This window comes from Homo sapiens, chromosome 18, assembly GCF_000001405.40.
Source record: "Homo sapiens chromosome 18, GRCh38.p14 Primary Assembly".
Lineage (NCBI taxonomy): Eukaryota > Metazoa > Chordata > Mammalia > Primates > Hominidae > Homo > Homo sapiens.
Genome location: NC_000018.10, coordinates 23,848,843 through 23,863,669, shown reverse-complemented (window position 1 = coordinate 23,863,669; position 14,827 = coordinate 23,848,843). Strand labels below are relative to the sequence as shown.

The 14,827-nt window shown below is 44.9% G+C and overlaps 1 protein-coding gene across 13 annotated transcripts in view; it reads right to left on the bottom strand.

Annotated features, from left to right (window-relative positions):
* The window catches only part of LAMA3 (laminin subunit alpha 3), a 265,614-nt gene that overhangs the window by 91,397 nt on the left and 159,390 nt on the right, over window positions 1-14,827 (bottom strand). For 12 of the 13 annotated variants that reach the window (XM_011525978.3, XM_011525982.3, XM_011525980.3 and 9 more), the window contains 3 exons: window positions 5,682-5,826; window positions 4,841-4,981; window positions 1,863-2,024 (listed from right to left, as the gene is read on the bottom strand). In XM_011525978.3, coding sequence (XP_011524280.1) covers window positions 1,863-2,024; window positions 4,841-4,981; window positions 5,682-5,826 — 448 coding nt within the window. Of the gene's footprint in view, window positions 1-1,862; window positions 2,025-4,840; window positions 4,982-5,681; window positions 5,827-12,096; window positions 12,244-14,827 lie in introns of those variants that run through there. The other variant, XM_017025744.2, reaches the window with a different exon arrangement.

The following is a 14,827-nucleotide window of genomic DNA, read 5'->3' as shown; positions in this document are numbered from 1 at the left end:
ACAGAAGCTTTTCCCTAGAGTCTGTAACCTGACAAAGCCTTACAGAGCTTTGATCTTCAAGCCTGGAAGTATTCCAAGGCAATGTCTTGAATTATTATTGTGATTTAAGTATTGCTTTTTTGATGGGCTTAAAGTGGTTTTAAAAACATGGCCACAAATTCTTTGCACTCCTGCCTTCAAGAGGTGGGGCTTAATTCCCCCTCCTCCTTTTTGTTTTGTTTTGTTGAGATGGAGTCTCGCTCTGTCGCCCAGGCTGGAGTCCAATGGCTCGAGCTCAGTTCATTGCAACCTCCGCCTCCCAGGTTCAAATGATTCTCCTGGCTCAGCCTCCTGAGTAGCTGGGACTACAGGCGCCTGCCGCCATGCCCAGCTAATTTTTGTATTTTTAGTAAAAACAGGTGTTTCATCATGTTAGCCAGACTGGTCTCAAACTCCTGACCTCAGATGATCCGCTTGTCTCGGCCTCCCAAAGTGCTGGGATTACAGGCGTGAGCCACCAAATTCCCCTCCCTTTGAGTGTGGGCTGGGCTTAGTGACTTGCTGCTAATGAATAGAATAAAGGAGAAGTGAGGGCATGGCAGTTCTGAAATTAGGTTACAAAAACACTGCAGCTTCTGTCTTGAGCTAGCTCTCTCTCTCTCTCTCTCTTTCTCTCTCTCTCTCTCTCCCCCACCCTGTTACCCACCCCCCATAAGTTGCTTTGGGGGAAGCCAGCTGTCATGTCATGAGGACCCTCAGGTAGCCTATGGAGGGTCTCACGTGATGAGAAATGGAGGCTTCCAGCCCACAGCTAGCCAGAAGCAGAGGCCTGCTAACAGCCATGTGGGTGAGCTTGGAAGCAGATGCTGCAGTCCCAGGGGACTACAGCCCTGGTTGACATCTTGACAGTAACCTAGGAAGACTCTGGGCCATCCCCTCCTGAATTCCTCATCCAAGATAATCATTACTGCTTTAAGCTGCGAAGTGTTGGAGTAATTTGTTACATAGCAATAGATAATCAACACATGGGCCCGTCATATAGCGGTAAAGAGGAGTATTAAGTGAAAGAGAAGTGGGATCATAGAAGAGAGGCAACATTTCCCACACTCAGATGTCAAAACCCACAGTCCTTCACCCAGAAGACAAAGTTAGAGACCTCAGGCCAACAAGGCCCTATTATTTTAGTCTTCCTAATGTGAGAATTTGGCATCCCCTGAGCCAGGCCCTGTGAAATCCACCCGTTAGCAAGTTCCACCCTTGCTAAGAAACATATGTCACCTCATGTTTCCACATGAGGCCTGCATTTCTGTCCTCATAAAATGGATGGAGGTGGCCAGCCTCTGGCATAATAACTCTTGCAGCAAAGGAAGAGCAAGTGGTTTGTAAGTTCCTGAGGAGTGTGTAACTATGTGATTCTACTTAGGAAAGTCGAACTGCCACCAGATCCTGTGTTTCTTTTAATAAGCTTGTGAGTCACTTGTTAGCTTTCGTTTTCCTAACAAAGAGGCTTTCTTCTGCCTTAAAATAAAGAATTCTCAGCATTGGCATTTAAAAGCACGCATGTCCCATTTGCAATAGATAGTATTTAAATGGTTATTTCCCTGGAGGAAAATTCTTTGACATTAGGTAAAAACTGAGAAAAACATTGTGGGTGATTTCCTTTGCTGGTAGCTCATGCATGGCAATGGTGGGGCGCAGTGTGTGCCTGCTCAGCCCCTCACAGCAGGAGGCAGGGTCTCTTCCTCACTTTTAGTTCAGCTCATTTCTGGAACGTTAGTAACCTGAACTGCTGGATGCTTCCTTCCAGATTTCCAGGAAATGATGCTCATGCAGCAATAGCAGAGGCCCACTGAGGGCCCAGAAGAACAGCAGGACATCATTACCTTGTCCCCCAGGTAGGAGGTGGGTGCGACCCAGGACGCGCTGTGGATGGTTGCGGGCAGCTCCTGGAGATCCGCCACCATACTGTTGCTGCCTGGGTTGAAAGAGACAGGGATGTCCACTCTGTCTGCTGTCTCCAGGTGCCAGCCCAGCATATCCACAAACTGGAAAGAGGGAGAGAAGCAAGGGATGGAAACGTCTTGGTCGTGGCATCCCTGGGGTGATGGGTGCATGATGTACTACAGAAAGCTCCACGGGCAGCCTCCTTGCCTCAGAGGCCTCCTTTATGCGTCTACTCCTGCACCTGCCCTCCCGAGCCAGAGCCCCGTCTGACCCATTGCCACTGGGAGTTCTGGGAAGGCAGTGGCCTTACATGTGTGGGATTTATCTTTGTAACCCAGCACACATCATTGTTCTTGACATTTAGTAGGTGATCAATGAGTGTTTGAATAATAAAGAAATAAGTGTATGAATAAAAACTAGGACCATGGCGCATTTAATGGCAAGCTCCTTATAAAGAAAAATGTGATGTGGAATTCAGTGGCCTGCTATTATTATTTTTCTCTAAATGGAGCATCAAAATTAAATCTTTTCCTGGTCACAAAGGAAGCCAGTTAATTTTGAGGTAAAAAAAAAAGAAAGAACTGAGCAAGCATAGGATTGGATTAATGCTTTCTGGTTCCCAGGGGATAAGAGACTTCAGAGCAGATTTACAAAGTATTTTTTTTTTCCAATTACTAGCTACACTCCTTTTAGGAGACAGGCAGTAAAAGATATGAAATAGGCAGGCAGTAAAATATATAAAATAGTATTTTTGGGGCCAGGTGCGGTGGGTCACATCTGTAATCACAGCACTTTGGGAGGCCGAGGTGGGTGGATCACCTGAGGTCAGGAGTTCAAGACCTGTCTGGCCAACATGGTGAAACCTTGTTTCTATTACATATAAAAATTAGCCGGGTGTGGTGGGGCATGCCTGTAATTCCAGCTACTCAGGAGCCTGAGGCAGAAGAATCGCTTGAACCCGGGAGGCAGAGGTTGCAGTGAGCCAAGATCATGCCACTGCACTCCAGCCTGGGTGACAGAGCGACACTCCATCTTAAAAAAAAAAAAAAAAAATCTTTTTTTGAGTACTTGTTGGATATAAGACATGACTCACACAAAGAAGGCAAGCATGAGGTTACTGGTTCATGGAATAATGAAAACAAGAAAAGTTTTAGTTTTATGAAGTTAATTTTAAAAATGCCCAAAGAAGGCCGGGTGTGGTGGCTCACACCTGTAATCCCAGCACTGTGGGAGGCCAAGGTGGGAGGACTGCTTGAGCCCAGGAGTTTGAGACCAGCCTGGGCAGCATGGCAAAACCCTGACTCTACAAAAAATACAAAAATTAACCAGGTGTGGTGGTGCATGCCTGTAGTCCCAGCTACTCAGGAGGCTGAGGCAGGAAGATTGCTTGAGCCCTGGAAGCGAAGGTTGCAATGAGCTGTGATCACACCACTACACTCCAGCCTAGGCAACAGAGACCCTGTCTCAAAAAAAAAAAAAAAAAAAGAAAAGAAAAGTGACCAAAGAAAAGATATGATAAAATAGGTGAGAAGGAAAGCAAAACAGAAAGAAGAGAAGTAAAAATGAGAAGTGAGGGGTGTGATATTGTGACATAACAAGACATCATGAGAGATGCGGATTTGGCTATTACTACCAGTTTCTGGCACAGAGCTCCTAAAACCCTTGTAATTTCCTGAATGATAGGGGTGATAGGAGCATCTTTTGCCATAGTAATTGGTCTTAGTCCACAGTTCCTGAGGCCAGAGCTTCTAAGACCCTTGGACTCTGATGTGGTAATAGTGTCTCTTTGTGTGCTAATGAGATAAGTGGTGGCTGAGTCCTCTGGGTAGCTTCAGGATGGGGGCTTGTAGCCAGGAAGACCAAGGTAGGATGAGAGGGTTGGGACTTTCAGCCCTACCCCCAACCTCTGAGGAAGGGAGAGGGACTAGAGATTGAGTTAATTATCAATAGCTAATGATTTAATCAATCATGCCTACATGAAAGAGCCACCAAAAAACAAACAAACAAACAAAAAACCCTAAATGGTAGTTTGGGAGAGCTCCTGGGTGGGTAAACACGTCTGCATGCCAGGAGGATGGTGCGCCCTAACTCCCATGCCTGGAACCCTCTGGACTTTACCCTATGCACCTATTCACCTGGCTGTTGCTCTGTATCCTTTATCATATTCTTTATAATAAACAGCAATAGGAAGGAAAGTGTGTCCTGAATTCTGGGAGCCATTATAGCAGATTATAAACATGAGGAGTGGGCTGTGGGAACCCCCAACTTGTAGCAAAGCACTGGAGAAGTACTGGAGGCCTGGGACTTGCAACTGGCATCTGAAGTGGGAGCAGTCTGGAAGAACTGAGCCCTTAGCCTGTGCAGTCTGATGCCACCTCCAGGTAGAGAGTGTCAGAAGTGAATTGAATTGCAGGACACCCCGGAGTGTCTGGGAGAATCAGAGAATTTTTAGTATAGAAAAAACCCCACACATTTGGTGTTAGAGTGTTGTGAGTATAGAAACAAGGTTTTCTTTTAAAGGGGAAAATGACAAACTCGATTTATTTAATGAGATTTATTGGGCATCTATTATGTCCCAGATCCTGTTCTAGGCACTAGGGGTGTATCAGCGAACTCACCATTCTAGGGATGGAAGAAGAAGGGCAATAAACAAATTTTAAAACAAAATGTTAAATAGGGAGTGATGACTCCTATGGGGAAGACAAGGGTAAGGTCAGCAAGAGTGTCCAAGGTGTGCTATTTTATAGGAAGTGGTGAAGGAAAGCCCCTCTGAACACATGGCATTCGAGCAAACAACTGACGAATTCAGGAAACAAGAATTTTAAAACACTGCAGGCCAAGGAGCAGCGAGGGATATGCTTATCATTTAACAAATCCATGTACAAAATGTTCCCCAGCACTTTCTGTCAATGCATACCTTAGTCCTTCGCTTATGTGAGCTGTGACATTGATTATTTACTCCAAAACAGAAACAGCTGGTACAACCCTTGAGATTGGCTGGGTCCAAATGGAATGAGCCTTCTCGACACACATTACACTCTGTGCCTTCTACATTTTCCTATTGAAGCAAAACATGAAATAAGAGATCACGTGTTCCAAAATTTCCCTAGTTGCAATTAGCTACTTGCACAAATTAAATACCAACACAAGATGTTAGGATGAGGATGTGAGCAAAACATTAAAAGAGATGTTAATTATTAAGCTTTCATCCCATGTTAATTGTTTAAACTTTTATACCACACACAAATGGAGGAGAGAATTCTCTAAATTTCATAAGATGCCCCTGGGGCATCTTGCAAGTAGAGAAATAGCACCATACGGTTCACAGGATGGGGAGACCAATTCATCTCACTCACCACCACCTTAAAACATCTCCTGGGAATTGGAAGGTCTCCTACAACCTGGCGGAACCCCTTGGAGCAGAGATGATCACCTGGAGTCCATGGTCCAGGAATGGGTTTTAGGTGAACCTATGAACCTCATGAAACTGTAGATAAAAGTTTGTGCTGATTTTTCTGGAAAGGGTCTATATCCGTCATCAGATTCTAAGGCGGTCTGAGACCTCTCCAAAAGATAAAAGGGGTCTCACCTCCTAACTATTTCTGTAAAATGAGATCGTGACTATAAAATGCTACATACACTATCAACATCTCTTACGGGTCAGTCCCATTTCCCACATACTTTTCTATGTTGACTCAACATGAAGCACTTTCCTGCTGACCGGCAGCTGTTGTCTGGCATTGCACGATCTCTCTTACCTTGCAGAGGCAAGCCCCGGTCCCTGGGTCACACACTCCTGGCTCAGTCCCATCTCTGTTGCAATTGCAGGGAACACACTCAGGAAAGCGGTAAAACCCGGAAGCACATCGGTCACACTGCCGCCCTGTGATTCTGGGCTTGCATCTGTACACAAAGTAAAGGAAGCAAAAATCATCATCTTTGTACACACAATTTTAAAGTGCTCACTTACACTATAGTGGACTAATTGGTGTGCAAAGCCAGTTAAATAGATACAATGCCTGCTTATAGTCCAAGGCAGAATGGAGAGAGGCAGATAAAAGGCACTTACAGAATGTAGGTCATTGACCAATGGCCATTGTGGATGGTCATGGATGACCGTCGTAGATGGGTCAGGCTTAGCACTAGGTGTTGAGGGCGCAAGAAGGGACATGGCCCCCGAGCCTGGAGGGCTCCCGCAGATGGCCCATAAGTGGAAATGATGACAACCTACACAGAATCTAACTGAGGTTCAGAGGAGTAGCAGGTGACAAGTTTCCCTGGGGGAAATGACTCCTGACCTGAGCTTTAAAGGGCAGAGTCATAGGGTAGAAGTTGGGATGCGCATTCCAGACAGAAGGAACAGAGCGGGAGATCACTCAGTGTGTACAGGGAACAACACAAGCATGGTGCTGCTGGGGCAGATGTCCAGGCAGGGAATGCTGCCCCATGGCCTGAGGAGGTAGGTGGTGTCAGATCATCAGGACAGAGGGGCTGGACACGGCAGCACAGCGCAGTAGCTGAGACCTGTGCATGCAAGGCTGCAGTTCTAATCCAGCTCTGACCATATGAGACACACCATCTTAGCAAGTTCTTTAACTTCCCAAAGCCTGCTTTTCATACCTATGAGGGACAGAACACGGTAGCTGCTGCCTCCTGGGATTGCTGGGAACCCATGAGGCAGTGCATGCAAAATTTCATCCCAGTGCCTGGCACTTGGCAAGTTACAAACAAGGCAACATGAACAGCTGTTAAGGAGGAGAGGGTGTGGTTGGACTTGTGTGAAGGATGGAGCCCAGAGGGTGAATTCCAGCAGCAGCAGCAGCAGGATGTCAAGTCAGGAGAGAGACTGGGGGCTAACCTAGGGCAAAGGTATCCAGATGGGGAGGAGGGATGGGCTCCCAAACTATTTTGGGGTGAGGTTTCTGGGAACTGTAAGATTCTGGATGAGGAGTAGAGGAAAGAAGAGAAGACAAGGAAGACTCCCAATTTCCCTGCTTGGGTGACAGAGTGGATCTTAATGTCCCTTGTTACCTGCAAGGGCCAGAGCTCAGAGGAAAGCACAGTGGGGGGTGGGAGGGTCACTCTGAGTCATCCACCCTCAACCATCTGCAGGTCCTTTTAACTGAAGATCCGGGCAGACAAGAAAACACAAACAGCTGAGCAGAGGCAGAAAAGCAGTGGGCTATGGCTGTGCCTGGAGAACCCAGAACTCGAGGTTGGAGAGGGGAAGAGAAAGTGCCGCGAGCCCTGGGGAGCCAAGCACTGCATTCAGAGCTGGGATCTACCTACACACTGATTCTCTTCTGTGGGACTAAGGGAAGTATTAGAAATACATTTTTATTGGCATATAGGCAATAACACTTTATTGTTCAATTACTACCAAATGTAGGCCATCACCTATCTCCTAATACCTGTGAAAATATCTTACCCCAGTGACCATCCTAAAAAAGTTAAATACGACTCTTCATATCCCATTAAGTTTCTCTTTGGCAAATATCTGCTTATTTCCCTTTGGCAAATATCTGCTTATAAAGGATTTTGTATGTGATTAAGAACATAAACTTGGAACCAGGTAACCTGCTTTGAATCCCAACTCTACCACTTACTGGACCTTGGGCAAATTGGTCACTTTACAACCAAGTTTCTTCATCTGTAAAAATGGAGGTAACAATATCTACTTCACAGGATTGTCGTGAGGATTAAATATTACATGTAAAAACCTTACAGGAGTTGCTTGCACACACGTAAGTATTTGCTATTACTATTCTAGCTGTGACATGGGCTAAGGGGAGGAGACGGTGCCTTTCTGTCCACTCGGCACAACTAAAAGGACCAACTCAGCATTACTTGCAAGACCTCCTGGCAAGTTGCATCTTTCAGCCCCATCCCTCTCACCTCTCCCTACTCGATACCTGCAGAAATGATTCCATAAGGAAGTAGCCTCAAAACCACACTTAGAGTAATGTAGGTATAGAGTGTAAATGTTCTGCTTGAAGTGGATGGCTCTAGTGCAGTGGATTGTAAACTCTGGGAGAGGATCGGAGACGCTTTTGGAAAGCTGGGTAAACTATGGGCCATATTCTCAGAAAAGTGTCCACTAAACTCACAGAAAGACTCATTCTCATATACACACAATTTTGCATTCTCTTATCAGAGGGCTCCTGGCCCCAGGTTAATAACAACTGCTCTCTTCTTGTGACCCTCGGACTAAATGTAATCAGGCAGTCTGGCAAAAATGTAAAGCCTGTTCTCAGCTGATTCCTTATTTCTGGAGAGACAGCGAGTGTGGAGCACAAGGACTCTGGTGGTCTAGAGACCGGAAAGAAGAGAGAGCAGATGACCCCTCCCAAAATAAAAGCCATCAGAGAGAGAAGCCTCAGAACAGAAGAGGGCCATTGGAGATGGCCCGACGTAGGCTGGGTGAACCTTGCTTCTCTTTTCCTGGCAGTGAAGGAAAGAACACCACGCACAGAGGGACAGTGTTGCCATGAAGTGCCAACCTGGCAGACTGGCATCCCAAGGTCTGAACGTTTCTTTTAGCAAACATGCGGGGCTTCTGGCCAAGGGTGAATTAATAAGATGCTGGTGGTAGGTGAGCAACTCACACACTGAACGCCATTGGTGGGCACAACTCAGAGTGTCCCCTGAGCAAGTGATCTGGGCAGGGACCTGGAAAGTGAGGTCACGCAGACAGGAGCCTGTGGTTTTTTTGTGTGTGTGGTTTATTTTTTTAAATTTTTTTATTTTTTATTTATTTATTTTTGAGACGGAGTCTCGCTCTGTCACCAGGCTGGAGTGCAGTGGCGCGATCTCGGCTCACTGCAAGCTCTGCCTCCTGGGTTCATGCCATTCTCCTGCCTCAGCCTCCCGAGTAGCTGGGACTACAGGCGCCTACCACCATGCCCAGCTAATTTTTTGTATTTTTTTAGGAGAGTCGAGGTTTCATCGTGTTAGCCAGGATGGTCTCGATCTCCAGACCTCGTGATCCGCCTCCTTGGCCTCCCAAAGTGCAGGGATTACAGGCGTAAGCCACCACATCCGGCCCTGGAGCCTGCATTTTATGTTTTCTTTTCTTTTTTTATTTATTTTTATTTATTTATTTTTTTGAGACAGAGTCTCGCTCTGTCACCCAGGCTGGAGTGCAGTGGCGCAATCTCGGCTCACTGCAAGCTCCGCCTCCCGGGTTCACGCCATTCTCCTGCCTCAGCCTCCCAAGTAGCTGGGACTACAGGTGCCCGCCACCATGCCCAGCTAATTTTTTGTATTTTTAGTACAGATGGGGTTTCACCATGTTAGCCAGGATGGTCTCGATCTCCTGACCTCGTTATCCACCCAACTTGGCCTCCCAAAGTGCTGGGATTACAGGCGTGAGCCACCGCACCTGGCCACGTTTTGTATTTTCACTTCACTGGAAAGGAAAGGAACAAGAGTACCTGCAGCAAGGGCAGCTGTGGAAGCTGCTTGTCCAGACAAGGAGGAAGGGAAGCAAAATCATGACTGGCCTGTGTGTTTATTTTAGAATGTATGCGAGATGATCCAGTGGAAAGAGAGTGACTGAGAAGATGTGGCCAGTCAGTAATATAGGACCAAGCTCTGAGCCTCACACAGCACATGGGTAGCAGCTGAGAGCACTAAAGCAGATGGGAAAAAAGCCAACAGAGCAGAGGGAGGAGAGCAGCGGCCTGCAAATGGGACCCTGAGTGGCCCCGCTGGGCCTGCTAGGCCAGGGTGAACCAAAACAATATCTATATTCTTGAGTACTGCAATGTTTAGATAATTGAGTTATGCATCCTGTGCAAAGACAGTTTTTGGTGTTGCCAGGACAATAGGGAAGTTTTTGGTGGTGCCATGACAATAGGGAAGGAAGAGGACATTTCCTCTTCAAAGTCTGGCTGAACATCCTTTAAAATGACCTCATGTCGGCCTGACTTGGTATGTTTCTCTACAGCGAATTTATGGTACCCAAGGAACAGCCCTACCAGAATTTCTGGTACCCAAGGAGTAGCTGCAGAATGGCAATTCTGGGGAGGCAGGTCAAGAGAATTTATCTCCATGGCAATGGGGCTCCTGGCCAAACGTTTTGTAACAACATCTGGGCATGGGTGGGTGCTTGCCATGTCTCAGAGAATCAGGCCCAGATGTGTTGGGGTGAGCTGCATCCTTTGGTCATTAAGGGGCCGGGTGCAGTGGCTCATGCCTGTAATTCCAGCACTTTGGGAGGCTGAGGCAGTGGATCACCTGAGGTCGGGAGTTCGAGAACAGCCTGACCAACATGGAGAAACCCCATCTCTACTAAAAATACAAAATTAGCCGGGTGTGGTGGTGCATGCCTGTAATCCCAGCTACTCGGCAGGCTGAGGCAGGAGAGTCGCTTGAACCCTGGAGGCAGAGGTTGCGGTGAGCCGAGATCACGCCACTGCACTCCAGCCTGGGCAACAAGAGTGAAACTCCATCTCAAATGAATAAATTAATAAACACTGTAGGGCCCTTCATATTATGCTCATATCAAAGTCCAGTTTTAACCTAGAGCCCAAAATCTACCTTATTTATTTATTTATTTTTTCACTCAAGAATTATTGAGTGCCTTCTACATACACATTCCTTTGTTAGGGGACATGGGAGGGAGGGGACAAAGTAGAATAAGTCAGTCTTGATGTGGACATGTTTCACTGCGGACACAGGACCTAGAATGTGGAAATTAAGGGAGAAGCTGGCTAAGCAGTCAACTTGCTTTGGCCAATGAGATGATGAGGCGATCTCTGTGGACTCGTAGAAGGCTCCTTGCATTCTTTGAGTCTGTACTTTTAACACAAAAATCCTTGAAGGACAGGCATAATTTGGGGGTAGTAGGAGAGGAGGAGGGAGCCCTTTCACAACTGGAGAACAGAACACAGACAAAAAGTGTTTAGAGGAAGTGAGAAAACCAAGCCAGAGAAGAAAGCAGAAAAAACAAAAAGGTACTAAAAGTTAGGGTAGATAGAAGTCAAATCACGGAAAGTTGGTCTTTATCCTATTAGACAATGGGGAATTAAGGAAAGTTCTTGAGCAAAGAATGTGATGTCATGGAAATGGTGTTCCCATAACAGCCCACACACAATATGGCGCTCACCATGCTGCACTGTCACTCTTGGTTAGAACAGGTGCCCCCACCAGATCACAAACATGTGTGCCTTCCACAGGAAGCACAGCACCCAAACTGGAGTAGGTATTAGATGCACTTTGAGCAACAAAACACATACAAAATAACACTTAAGGGAAAGCTAAAAAACCTCACAAGGAACTGAGATGTTTCATCCTCATTAAAATAACAAAAACAAACAGAAATACATGCCAAGAAGATAAAATCACATTTAAGGGCAGGCTGCCATAAAACAAAAAGAAGATAAAATCATAAACATGTATGCATTTATCAACATTGTCTCAAGTTCACAGACTAATAGTACCATGTATTTGTGAATAAAGTTAAGGGAAAGACAGATATTTGAATCCCAGTATAATTGTCAATTTAGTATATTCTTCTTAAAGAGCCAAAAAAGAAAGAATGAATGAGTAAACCAGGAAAAGGAAGGCCAACTAGGAAAGCATCAATATCATCTGAACATGAAGTGGTAAAAGGACTTAACCAGGCTGTAGACAGCCATGGAAAGGAAGGGGGATAATATGTCCCTTGCCAGAAGTTGACACCTGACTGGCTGTAGGGAAAATGGGTTGATTCTAAGATGATACTCAGATTTCAGGCTTAAAGGACTGGAAAGAGGCTGTTATCATTAAGTAGAATTTTTTTTTTTTAACCCAAAGGGAGAAATGGCTTGAAAGGGAAGACAGTGACATGGGTTTCAGAGATAGGATCAGTATTGTAGAATTCAGGAGTTAACGATTATCCAATCTAACTTTTCATAATACATGTGAGGAGACAGGAGCTCAAAGAGCTTAGGGAACTTGTCCAAGGCTACCTGTGTAAAGTCAATAAGAGAACCCAGGTTGAGTCGATTTGCAATAAAGGTGGAATAGGATAGCCCTCAAGGATCAGGACTGGAGCTGTGGATCTGGGAATCATCCAGGAGTGAGGGTGGCTGAAGCCAGGAGAATGGGTGGAGTCTCAGGGACAAACCATAGAGGGAGGAAGGCAGACAGCCATGACCTTGGCAAATAACCACAACAGCTAATACTTACTGGGTGCTCAGAGTGTATCAGGCGCTGCTTTCAGTGTGTTCACAGAGGATATTTAACCCTCTAAAGGTGCCTCCAGGATCCTTATTTTACAGATGAAGACCTAAGGCCCAGAGGACAGAAGTAATATACCTGAGGTCACCCAGAGAGTGAGCGGCAGAGACAGGACGCAACTCACACCACACATCTTCTTGGTCTGGAGGCAGAAGGAGAAAAATGAAGCCAGTGAAATGGCCAGAGAAGCATCATCAGAGAGGTTAGAAGAAGATGCCAGTATTACAGGAGACGAAGGACGACAGAGGTCGTGCAGGTGAGAACCCTGAGCTCCTTCTGTGTGGCTGTTACAGCCGTCACCACTGTGTCAACAGCACATCCCAGCGCCTGCACACTGCCTGGCCAGCCTCACAGATTATTTGATGAAGTGCATCAAAGAAATTGCCTCTCCAAGTTGTTAGGGCTCAGGAATTGATGCCTAGCTGGAAGCCCTTCTGTTCTGAGAACACCAAGTCGATGACCTTTTCTGGTTTTTAATTTCTCCATTTAACACAAAGGCTTAGTAAATCTGAGTGGAGATAGAGGGAATCCCCAAATCTTTCCTGTGGCTACTACCCTTCTGAAAAGGCATGAGGTACACGTGGCTTCACTGGATGTCCAGGTGGACTGCCATCTCCTTTGATCAATCTGAAAATAGCTTGGACGCGGTCAACAGTACTGCAGCTTTTACTACCAGGGATCTCCAGCTTCCTCACGTCTGACACAGATGGATAAAGTCTTCCAAAAATATTCTAGCCCTTTTGTATGTTCAGAGAATCTGATGGCACATATCTTCCATTACTAGGAGCAGATGCAAATTTACTTTTTCATCGCTATAAATAGATATATGTGCTGTCTTGTTGTGCTAAAAAAAATGAAGTTTTGATCAATATAAGCATCTTTTTGATCTTGATAGAATTGGCCAGAATAATAGACCTTTCGATAATTACACAATATAGTCCGTGATACAATCAGAGATTGAAAAAGAAATGGAATCAGAATTTTAAATTTAGATAGGAAGTTAGAGATGATTTTACTAAACTTCATTTTACAGAGTAAGAAGCTGAAAGCCAGGCAGACAAAATGACTTGCCCAGTCTCATAGCTAGGACTTGCCAAAGGTGAGTCGAAGGCTCAGTTTTATGGTTCCAACTTATTGCCTCTAAAACTACAACACCAGGTTGACTAAGTAAAGAGTGAGTATTGTAGATTGCTAAAATTATTTTTGTAATTCATTTTAAAGTAGATGAATATTTGTAACAGTTTGATTTTCTTATAGTATGATAAAGTTGAATGCTTATAAGTAGTTAAATACAATTTGAGAATTGCAATTTTTCAGCTTTGCAGTTTGTGATGATTTGTACAACTGCAGGACAAGACTGTGAAAGAATGTGTTTTCCTTTTTCTCATAAACTCTAGGTATCTCTGATTATTTCTTTTACATGAGCTTTAGACTCCTCTAAACATATTCTTCATAAAGGAAATTTTCTAAGGAGGAAAAAAATAGTTTTTCCTCTAATATTTATAAAGAAGTAATCCCTTCAGGCAATCAAAAGCTTTTTCAGCATTTACACTGAAATTATCATGGGCAATTTGTGCAATTTACAGTAATGTAAATTTTCTTACATTTTCTGACAAGGCCCTTTTATGACAAATCTACTTTGATCATGGGAAGATGCGTTATCCCATTAGATTATTATAGTCCCTTTCCTAAGGTCAAAGTAAACAGTTTTACATCTTGGTTTAAGTGTAATACAAGTCAGCAAGATTCCATTTCTGTTGATGCTGTCAGGTTTGGGCAAAACTTACTATAGACATGCCTCCATCCTGAGTTAGGAATATTCCAGTCTATTAAATTATCATTGGCAGTGACAGTTTGTTAAAAATAAAATTCTTAGGGATTTTTACATAAAATACTGCAGTAAATCCATCCATCACCTTCTGGTGCCTTAACAAGATTAAAACATTTTTAAAAGCACTCTTGGTTTTCTTTTTCTGTGACAGCAGCATTGAGAAATTGTGTGTGAAGTTCCATTTGCAGCGATTTATTGTTGACAAACCACTCCCTTTGAAAACTCTACTGCTTCTCTTCCTGCCTGAAAACTGATTCTCCATCTCCCCCTTGGTTCCTTTGCTTCCTGTGATTAAACACAGGTATCCCCTCTGGTTCTTGAGTGACTGAGCTGACTCAGGCAGGACTCACACCTGTGGTTTTAAAGACTTGGAATATTTCATGATTTGAGTTTTTCTCCCAGCTTCCTTACAAGGTTCCAGTATTATCAAGGAGTTGGGAGGCACCAGATAACAATTAAAGGTGTGGTTAAGGGGCCTTTCTTAGAAAAGCAAACATTGCTGCTATAGAGAGTTGAATTGTATCCCCACAAAAGATCTGTCCAAGTTCTACCCCCCACTACCTGAGAATGTGACCTTATTTGGAAACAGGGTCTTTAGAGATGTAATTAAGTTAAGATGAGGTTATACCAGAGTACGGTGGGCCTTAAGCCAGTATGACTGGTGTCCTTATAAGAAAATGAGAAGAGACAGAGACACGTACAGAGAGGGAAACGCCACAGGAAGACAGAGACACACAGGGAGAACAGCATGTAATGGCGGAGGCAGAGGTTGCAGTGATGCAGCCAACAGCCCAGGGACTCCCCCAGGAATACCTGCACACCAGAAGCGAAGAGAAAGGCATGGAACAG